The sequence below is a fragment of the Homo sapiens genome, chromosome 2 (assembly GCF_000001405.40).
Source record: "Homo sapiens chromosome 2, GRCh38.p14 Primary Assembly".
Taxonomy (NCBI): Eukaryota; Metazoa; Chordata; class Mammalia; order Primates; family Hominidae; genus Homo; species Homo sapiens.
The window spans coordinates 53,207,325-53,218,229 of NC_000002.12; the positions used below are offsets into that span (position 1 = coordinate 53,207,325).

Below are 10,905 nucleotides of genomic sequence, written 5' to 3' on the forward strand. Positions count from 1 at the left end.
CAAATACCACATGTTCTCACTTATAAGTGGAAGCTAAATGATGAAAACACACGGACACATAGATGGAAACAACACACACTGGGGCTTATTGGAGGGTGGGGAGTGGAAGGAGGGAGAGGATAAGGAAAAATAACTAATGGGTGCTAGGGTTAATACCTAGGTGATGAAATAATCTGTACAACAAACCTCCATGACACACATTTACCTATGTAAGAAACCTGCACGTGTACACCTGAGCTTAAAAGTTTTTGAAAAACATAAAAAAAGATCCTCAAGTACATTAATTAGAGTACCTAAAACTAAAATTGTTGAAAGCAGTTATCCATGGAGAGCAGAACTCTGAATGAGAAAGGTAACGTAAAGGATGATTTTAGTTTTTCCGTATGCTCTTTCCTTATGTTATTTTCTTTGTTGTTTGCATTTTTCCCTCAAGGTTGAAAGCAATTTGAATGACTCTGAAATGATAAACTATTAAATAATAAAGCAAGTTATAAAATGATACACATACTCATATATGTATACGTGTGTGCAGACATATTATATATGTGTGTGATCCCATACACATGCACACACAAGACAGAGAGAAAAAAATAGATATAGCTAGATATATTGAAAGAGAGATGTTAATATTCACAACGATTATTGCTGGAGAGTGACATTAATTATTCTTCTTTAGGCTTTTATTTTCATTTTTCTTACAATAAGTATGTACACTATTTTATAATTAGAAATATATATATATTTTTTTAAACAGCATGGTTGTGTTTATTCATTGCTCAGAGGATGGAAATGGAAAGGATTATTTACCTTATTAAACGGAATTTTTTTCTGCTGAAAAAATAAAGTTGTTTTTTAAACGTTTTATTTAACCTTCTAGAAGCTCTAATTCTTCAGAAATCTAGACCTTTCTTTGACAAGCTCATCAGTGCCAAGACCTCTTAAAGAAAATTTTACTTGTCTGACAATTCCATTGCTACATAATATTCAAGTATCATTCAGCCCTATACAACTCAGATCTTACGGAAAAATCTACTTTTAACATTTGACCCTCTTATTAAAATATAAAGCCTATCTGGCTTAAATGCAGATTTTCAATACTACAAACAAAAAGTCTTTTCCAAGGTGGGCATGCTTACAGTCACAGGGCCTATCTGGCCTATGTGACAACTATCTATCATGAACCTTGACAATAAAATAAACATAGACGTTTAAGAAAATCCACATCAGCTGACACAATGTAAAGTTTCCAGGGAAATAGAATAGATTTTACAGTAGCTAAAGAGCTCAATAAATCATTCAGCACAATCCTTCACCTTCAGGCGGATAAAACGCCATTATTACCATATTATAGATAAATCACCTGAGACCCAGGGGGGGTTAGTGCCTTCCCCCAGGTCATAGAGATAATGTGTGAGAAAAGAGGAATTAAAACTCAAGCCACCTGCTTTCCCCTGAAAAAGCTTCTCCTGACAAAATACACGGTGTCATCGGATAATGGTGAGAGAGACATGCCCGTGTCACCAACTCAGAAATGATCTTCTTCTTTTTTCCAGGAGAGTGTTAACAACAAGGTCTATGCACAGTTCATCTCTCACCTGGATTTCCTGCAGCTTCTTCCAGAGACTTCAGATAGTCCCAGTGCTAGTTGCTGCTTCTCCAGATGTTTTTTATTTCCCCCGAGTGGCTTTCTACACTCTCATTCACACCTCCTTTCTATTTATAGACCAGTGGCAGTGTCTTCGCCCCTGCTTCTAAACCTTTCACCAGAAAAGCCTGCACTCTTATTACCTTCTCAGAATATTTACTTGTTCACATAGGTGTATCATGTTACGCTCCAAATACATTTTCTCCTGTGTCCTCAGCTGTAAAACCTTAGCATTCTCTTTTTTGTGAATCTCAAGATATTATATAACTCCTTACACTGAACTCCAAAGCAGACAGCTAGTCACCCTTTCCTTACTCTCTCAACACTTTTCTTTTTCCTTCAACCTTTGGTCCTGTGTAAATACTTGCATCTAATAGTGTAATATTTGAGGGCAGCATGAACTGTGAGACCTATGTGCAAAAATCCCAGTCGCCTTTCCTCATTCATTTAATAAATGTCTTTTAAGTGACCACTATATGTCAAACCCTGGTATACATGTTCAGTATTTGAGAATGAATAAGGTCAGAGACACCATCCCTAACCTTAAGCATCTCAGAGTCTTGGGTGAAGAGAATGGGAATGCTAAGCTGTAAGGCACATGTACAATTAGTCATACTACCATGCTCTATTACACTGCAGTACTATACTCAATATATGTGAGAAGTGCTAAGGCAAAAGAGAGGAAAGCAATATTAATTCCACATGACATTTGAGCCAGGTTTAGAAGGGTTACTACAAAATCATCCGGAGGCAGGGCAAGAACCTTCTAAAGAGAAGGAACGTAAGTTTGGGATGAAAGAAGCCCAGTGAGAGGGAGTATTATTATTAATATTTAGTTCAATTTGCCAAGGTAGCATATGACATCATGTACTAGATGGCAGTAAAGAAATGCTGCTGTCTACAATGGAGACACACCCCCAAGTTAAACCTGAGTAAACCTGGCTCCCTCTGTGAACTGTCACCCTTGAATAAACGAATACTGCCTGGGTCCTGTGGCATCTTTTCTGGGCACAAAATTTTATTTTAAAGGACATTGGGAAGCTAATCATGAAGCAGCAGAAACAAAAGCTGTCTACATTCCCCTGCTGCAAAAAAAAAAAAAGAAAGAAAAAAAAAGAAAAAGGGGCTCCGTTAGAGGAGATGTTGAGTCTAAGAAAACAAATAAAAGTTGTTCTGAAAGGAGAGGCAATTAAGTTTTTGCCAAACATGACAGAAAGCTGAGAACTGAAGCAGACAGAGTAATGTCTATCTTTGGCACACCAGACAGGCAGGAAAAGAGTGTGTGTCTTTGATGGCAGACTTTATTTTAAAGGTGCTAACTGACATTTTGAAAGGACATGAAAACATGGAAACGAGAGAGCTCTTCAGGGCCCTGCTGTCTGGGCTGCAGAAGCTCCCAAATGCCCCTAGGGTTTTCATTCTCCCAGACTAAGGCTAGCACAAGATAAGGTGCAGAAAAGAAAAGAAGAAAAATAAAACAAGTCTCTATCTTAAAGCAGCTACATGAATTCATATGATGCATTTAAGTCGAAAGTATAAAGAGAAAGACAGTTCCTGGCTCCTGAAAGAATCTTGCAGAGGGATGCTCATTTGTTACAGAAGGGCAGAGTTATGTCCATCATCTGACCAGTCAACAAAGTGCATATATGTTTTTATAAAGAAGCCTGTGACAATAGCAGAACAGGAACAAAAGCTTATTTCTAAGGCAACTGGTGACTCGAGTATTGGAGAAAGCCCCCTTGTGGCTTTCCCAAAGGCACTCTTACAACGGAGCAGATGCTGGTAGTCAGGAACTGAGTGTACTGAGGCATCTCAATCTACAGCTCATTTCCCTTACCTCTCTCATTGCTTCCCTATCAGTCCTGCTGACTGAAGGCACAACCTATGTTTATTATCTCTTGATCCCACTAAATCATTTTATCCCACCAAAGCAGCTTAGATTTATTTGAATATTTCATACGTCTTCATTGTGCTTTGTACTTCTCATAACCCAAATTTCTCCTTCTATCCCAGGATCAGTAGATATTTTCCTAGATCTTTAAAGTGAGGGGAATAAGAGTCTCCTCCACATTTAGGATTCATATCATTGAGAAAGGAGAATAAAGGATAGAAACTGGAAAGATTGGATAGTCAATAAGAGTGTGATTCAGAGGAATGATCTATTTCCAGTCCTACACTGACCAACACTCACTTAAGCTCAATGTAAGTAAATACAGAAGAGGAAGAAGAGACGAAACATACAGGAAAATATCACGGGTACCCACTTCACCCTTTTTGGCTTCTCACATTAGGATTCTTTACAAAATCTCAACAACCTAGCCTTTCCAACTCACCTCAATAGCAACTCACTGTGTTCTGCAGCCAATGCTATCATTCAGGAACATTTACCAAGTCCCCAGTCTAGGTGAGATCTTATGTTAGAGGATACAGAAATGAACATACTGTGCTGGCTTAGCAAAAACAAACATAGGAAGTACAAGGATAGGGGTAGCAGAAGGGGTTTGGGCAGGGAGTTCAGTTAGGTAAGACATCCAACAGAGCCAATTGATTCAAATTGGTAAGTTCTGAGGTCTCAGAGGTCAGTCAGGGAATCAGAAATAAATGTCCTTGCAAACATGTGTGCAAATCCCAGGACAAAGGTTATTACTTCTCTAAGCCATTTTAGACTTCTTGCTGTCTGTAAAGACCCAGGACCTGGGGAAATAAATATAACCAGAAAGTGGTTCAAGGCTTCCAGGTAAAGCCTGCTGCTGTGAGAATCAAGGAAAAAACTACTAAATTACTCCAGAAACTTAGAAGCATGTGTTGTTATTTAAATAGCTAAAACAGAAGTATACTTGGCTATACACCAAAAGAGCTCATGTTAGCCCTGACAACATTTCAAAAGGACAATAAAGGTTAAGAAAAGAGAAGGAAAAAGGGAAAATTGAAATTTTTTAATTATTAAATGATTAATGTATACACAAAAGCTCAAGGAAAAACAAGTTTTGCAAAATTACCAAAAAAGCTGTCTCAATTGTTTTCAGAAATGCAATTTAACCATGAGAAAAATCTCTCTAATTTTCTGAGATGATTAAAGACAAGGCCTGTTTCTTAATTGCCTGGTTGCTAAACACATTAGGAAATGGATAGAGTTTCAAGATTGAGATGCTGGCCAAATATTATCTTTTGTATTTCCATTTTGTTTAAAAAAAAATAGAGTAATACAGGAAAATAAGGAGCTGTTTGTTAGGAAGTAGAGTGGGAAAGAAATTACAGCGGAGAAAAAAGTGAATTTTTTTTAATGACAGATAAGGAATAATAGTTAAAAACCTAAATACCTGAAGATGGTTCTCCAAAACTAAACTGAAATAAAATTAAAACACATTTTGAATTTATTATTGGGGGATTGCTGCAAGAAGCAGATAGGAAATACTCTTTCCATTATTTTGCAAAGCACAGAGAGTAGTTTTCTAGGCAATTTCGGCACTTTACAAAATGCCCAGAAGCCACAGATCTCTGCAGAAGAGGTCACACGCTCATAGGTTCAAGATAGAAAGCAGAAAGATTCAAGTCAATAGAAACATCAAATTAGTTTGCTGGTTATTGAGTGGAGAGGGCACTTTTATGCCCTGGTCTCCGAACTACTGCCTCAGCTACTCAGAGCAAGTCTGACATTAACCTAGAGGAAACATCAATTCAGAAAAAAAAAGAAAGAAAGAAAAAGACAAAATTCATAATGATCCATATTGGCCATCTGTGTGTCTTAATTTTCTGAAGCTTAAAAACAAATAACTGAAAGAAGTGCCAGATATTTTGCAACATAAGCTGAACTTTCATATATTAGAATAATTGTTTAGCTTTTTAGATGTTTGTGAATTTTTCCTTCCTTAGCTACTGATGGGCCAAAAAGCATTCATGTTATAAATGTGTATGAAGTGATTCCTATTTATAAAATGAGATGGCACACAGAGAAGGGAGTCAACCAAATGACTTCTTTGGGTCCTTCCAGTTCTGAATTATGATTTAATGGCATTCATAACTCTTACTTAAAATGATCTAGCTTGAAAAAATAATACAAATATTAAACATTCAGCATTTATGAAACACACATATTAAGTCCTTAAATGACTGTTAAATAAAAGACTTCTTTCTTGCAGTAACTATATACGAAAGGATTATATATGAAGGAATTATATATATTTACTATACATATATGAATTTCCTATATGTAGGAATATAAAGGAAATTTTATATATATTTATATATTTCCTATATTTTTCTAACAATAGGAAATATACACAGGCACAAATACATATAAATAATTAGATTTTATTTGTGTGTATTTTTAAAATTCTACCATTCCTCTGTATTTATTAGCTAACATTCATATGTAGAGAAAACTTTCCCTCATGAATTGGGCTATTTGGTTTGCCAGAACTATTTTTCCCACTAACAAGCAGACTACATGTATAATTCTTTCTCTTCGACTGCCAATTTTTAGGGTAAGTTGACTTAATAGTCATTTTCAATGGTGGCAAACAATTTTAAAATTTTTATTTTACTTGAAGTTCTGTGGTGCACGAGCACAACATGCAAGTTTGCTATATAGGTATGTGTGTGCCATGTTGGTTTGCTGTACCTATCAACCTGTCACCTAGGTTTTAAGCCCCGCATGCATTACCTATTTGTCCTGATGCACTCCTTCCCCTTGCACCCCCCAAGAGGCCACAGGGTCTGTTGTTCCCCTCCCTGTGTCCATGTATTCTCATTGTTCAACTCACACTTATGAGTGAGAACACATGGTGTATGGTTTTCTGTTCCTGTGTTAGTTCACTGAGGATGATGGCATCCAGTTTCGTCCATGTCCCTGCAAAGGACATGATCTCATTCCTTTTCATGGCTGCATAGTATTCCATGGCATATCTGTACCACATTTTCTTTACCCAGTCTATCATTGATGGGAATTTGGGTTGGTTCCATGTCTTTGCCATTGTAAATAGTGCTACAATAAACATACGTGTGCATGTATCTTTATAGTAGAATGATTTATATTCCTTTGGGTATATACCCAGTAATGGGATTGCTGGATCAAATGGTATTTCTGGTTCTAGACCCCTGAGGAATCGCCACACTGTCTTCCACAATGGTTGAACTAATTTACATTCCCACCAACAGTGTTAATGTGTTCCTATTTCTCCACAGTCTCACCAGCATCTATTGTTTCTTGACTTTTTGATAATCACCATTCTGACTGGTGTGAGACGGTATCTCATTGTGGTTTTGATTTGCATTTCTCTAATGATCAGTGATGTTGAGATTTTTCTCATGTTTGTTGACTACATAAATGTCTTCTTTTGAGAAGTGTCCACTTTATCATTTTTTATTGTGTCTATTTGATTCTTCTCTCTTTTCTTCTTAGCTAGTGGTCTATTTTGTTAATTTTTTCAAACAAACAGCTCCTGGATTCACTGATTTTTTGAAGAGGTTTTGTGTCTCTATCTCCTTCAGCTCTGCTCTGATCTTAGTTATTTCTTGTATTCTGCTAGCTTTCAGATTTGTTTGCTCTTGCTTCTCTCGTTCTTTTAATTGTGATGTTAGGGTGTCAATTTTAGATCTTTCTAGCTTTCTGATGTGGGCATCAGTGCTATATACTTCCCTCTTAACACTGCTTTAGCTGCATCCCAGAGATTCTGGTACATTGTGTCTTTGTTCTCATTGGTTTGAAAGAACTTCTTGATTTCTGCCTTAATTTCATTATTTACCCAGAAGTCATTTAGGAGCAGATTGTTCAATTTTCCACGTAGTTGTGTGGTTTTGACTGAGCTTCTTAATCCTGAGTTCTAATTTGATTGCACTGTGATCTGAGAGACTGTTTGTTATGATTTCCGTTCTTTTGTATTTGATGAAGAGTGTTTTACTTCCAATTATGTGGTCAATTTTAGAATAAGTGCCATGTGGCACTGAGAAGAATATATATTTTGTGTTTTGGGGTGGGGAGTTTTGTAGGTATCTATTAGGTATACTTGATCCAGAGCTGAGTTCAAGTTCTGAATATCCTTGTTAATTTTCTCTCTCATTGATCTGTCTAATATTGACAATGGGGTATTAAAGTCTCCCACTACTACTGTGTGGGAGTCCCACTACTATTGTGTGGGAGTCTAAGTCTCTTTGTAGGTCTCTAAGAACTTGTTTTATGAATCTGAGTGCTCCTGTATTGGGTGCATATCTATTTAGGATAGTTAGTTCTTGTTGAATCGATCCCTTTACCATTGTGTAACGCTCTTCTTTGTCTTTTTTTATCTTTGTTGGTTTAAAGTCTGTTTTATCAGAGACTAGGATTGCAACCCCTGCTTTTTTTTGCTTTCCATTTTCTTGGTAAATTTTCTTCCATCCCTTTGAGCCTATATCTTTGCACGTGAGATGGGTCTCTTGAATACAGCACACCAGTGGGTCTTGACTCTATCCGATTTGCCAGTCTGTGTCTTTTAATTGGGGCATTTAGCCTATTTACATTTAAGGTTAATATTGTTATGTGTGAATTTGATCCTCTCATCATGATGCTAGCTGGTTATTTTGCATGTTAGTTGATGAAGTTTCTTCACAGTGTCACTGGTCTTTATATTCCAGTCTGTTTTTTGCAGTGGCTGGTACCAGTTTTTCCTTTCCATATTTAGTGCTTCTTGCAGTAGCTCTTGCAAGGCAGGCCTGGTGGTGATGACATCCCTCAGCATTTGCTTGTCTGGAAAGGATTTTATTTCTCCTTCACTTATGAAGCTTAGTTTGGCTGGATATGAAATACTGGGTTGAAAATTCTTTTCTTTAAGAATGTTGAATATTGGCCCCCAGTCTCTTCTGGCTTGTAGGGTTTCTGCTGAGTGATCTGCTGTTAGTCTGATGGGCTTCCCTTTGTAGGTGACATGGCCTTACTCTCTGGCTGCCCTTAACATTTTTTCCTTCATACTGACCTTGGAGAATCTGATGATCATGTGTCTTGGGGTTGACCTTCTTGTGGAGTATCTTACTGGTGTTCTCTGCGTTTCCTGAATTTGAATGTTGGCCTGTCTTGCTAGGTTGGGGTAGTTCTCCTGGATAATATCCTTAAGTGTGTTTTCCAGCTTGGTTTCATTCTCCCCATCTCTTTCAGGTACTCTAATCAATCATAAGTTCAATATTTTTACACAGTCCCATATTTCTCAGAGGTTTTGTCCATTCTTTTTCATTCCCTTTAATCTTATCTGCATACCTTATTTTAGCAAGATGGTCTTCAATCTCTGATATTCTTTCTTCCACTTGATCTATTCAGCTATTGATAGTTGTGCATGCTTCATGAAGTTCTTGTGCTGTGTTTTACAGCTCATAAGGTCATTTATGTTCCTCTCTAAACTGGTTATTCTAGTTAGCAGCTCTTGTAACCTTTTATCAAGGTTCTTAGCTTCTTTGCATTGGGTCAGAACATGCTCCTTTACCTCGGTGGAGTTTGCTATTACCCACCTCCTGAAGCCTATTTCTGTCAATTCATCCATCTCATCCTCCATCCCATTCTGCACCCTTGCTGGAAAAGTGTTGCAATGATTTGGAGAAGAAGAGGCACTCTGGCCTTTTGGAGTTTCAGTGGATTTTGTTGATTCTTTCTCATCTTCATGAGTTTGTCTAGTTTCAATCTGACCCTTCAGTGAGGTTTTTGTGGGGACTTTTTTTGATGCTGATTTTGTTGCTTTCTGTTTGTTCGTTTGTTTTTTGAATAGTCAGGTCTGTCTTCTGTAGGGCTGCTGTGGTTTGCTGGGGGTTCACTTCAGGCTCTATTCATCTGGTTCACCCCCATGCCTGGAGATGCCACTTGAGGAGGCTGGAGAACAGCAAAGATGGGTGCCTGTTCCTTCTTCTGGGATCTCTGACCTTGAGGGGCACTGACCTGATGCCAATAGGAATGCTCCTGTATAAGGTGTCTGACAACCCCTGTTGGGGAGGTCTCACCCAGTTGGGTGACACAGGAAGCAGGACCAGTTTAATGAAGCTCTTTGGCTGTCCCTTGGTGAAGGGGGTGTGCTGCACTAGGGGAAAACCCACTTGTCTGGGCTTCATGAATTCTTCAGAGCTAGCAAGAGGAAAGACTAAGTCTGCAGTCAGTGGAGTCTACAGGCACCCCTCCCCTTAGGGGCCCAGGCCCAGGGAGATCAGAGTTCTATCCCTGAGCCCCTGGCTGGAGTTGTTGGAATTCCTACAGGGAAGCCCCACCCAGTGAGAAGGAATGGGTCAGGGTTCAGCTTGAAGAGGTACCCTGGCTGCAGTCTGCCACAGCCAGTGTTGGACTGTGTGGAATACCTCTTGGGACTAAGCCATTTAGTCTCCCTGGCTTCAGCAGGGGAAAGCGTGGCCTAGAGGTATAGAGATGGATGCTGCCCTCCTCCCCACCTGGTAGCTTAGTGTGTTAGGCAGCTAGCAACCCTAGTGTTTGCTGCTGCCACTCCCCTAAGGAGCTCAGATGGCTTAGACAGTAGGCAGCTGCAGCTGTGGTGGTTGGCTGCCCCTCCTCCCAGGAACTTGGCAGGGTTAGGCAGATTCTAGCCAAGTGGCTGTTGAGAATCTGCATAGCTCCACGATTGGGACCCTAGGCCCTGGTGATGTGGGCCCACTAGTGGGATCTTTCAATTCATGGGTTACACAGTTCCATAGAAAGAAGCACCATTTCCCAGGCTGGGTAGCACACTCACTGACCACCTCCCTTGGTTGTGGGGTGAGGGCTCCACTGCCCCATGTGGCTCTCAGGTGGGCCACTGCCCTATACTGCTCTTCCTTCCTTTCTGTGGGTCATGCCAGCTGCCTACTCAGTTCTGATGACAGAACCCAGATACTTGATTGCCAGTGCAGGATTCACACGCTGTTGTGGTTCTTTTCAATGGGAGCCTCCAATCACCACTGCTTCTAGATGGCCATCTTGAACCTGCCCCCAAATAATTTATTTTTTAAACTTTCTCTATTTTTGTATTACTGTGGACTCTTGGATATTTATATACTACATAGGTTACAATCAATTTTAGTCATTATTCTTTTGGATGCTCAAAATGTCCCAAGTCTGACCAATGAGAACGTCTTAAAGCTTGCCCAACTGTTCAACTCGACCCCATTAGGGTCTATGAGTGTTTCCTTACTTTCTGGCACAACAAGGCAACCTAAGTTCACCTGGTATTTTCATTGCCCCAAAACTGCAATCAGCCATTTCCCCAAGTACTCTTGATTCCTTTTGGTGAAGAATGGTACTCAGAAGGCAAAATTTGGGC

At 39.1% G+C, this 10,905-nt stretch overlaps 1 long non-coding RNA gene across 3 annotated transcripts in view, besides 1 other annotated feature; it reads right to left on the reverse strand.

The window, feature by feature from the left end:
- The window catches only part of LOC105369165 (uncharacterized), a 486,292-nt gene extending 484,649 nt beyond the window's left edge, over positions 1-1,643 (reverse strand). For all 3 annotated transcript variants that reach the window (NR_187747.1, NR_187748.1, NR_187750.1), the window contains exon 1: positions 1,596-1,643. This is a non-coding gene — a long non-coding RNA (uncharacterized LOC105369165). The remainder of the gene's footprint in view (positions 1-1,595) is intronic.
- Positions 9,517-10,018: an enhancer, noted in NCBI's record as "H3K27ac hESC enhancer chr2:53443979-53444480 (GRCh37/hg19 assembly coordinates)". NCBI's record gives its function as "activates a minimal SCP1, AML or CMV promoter by ChIP-STARR-seq in naive H9 embryonic stem cells {active_cell/tissue: H9 hESC(naive)}" and the evidence as "EXISTENCE:reporter gene assay evidence [ECO:0000049][PMID:30033119]".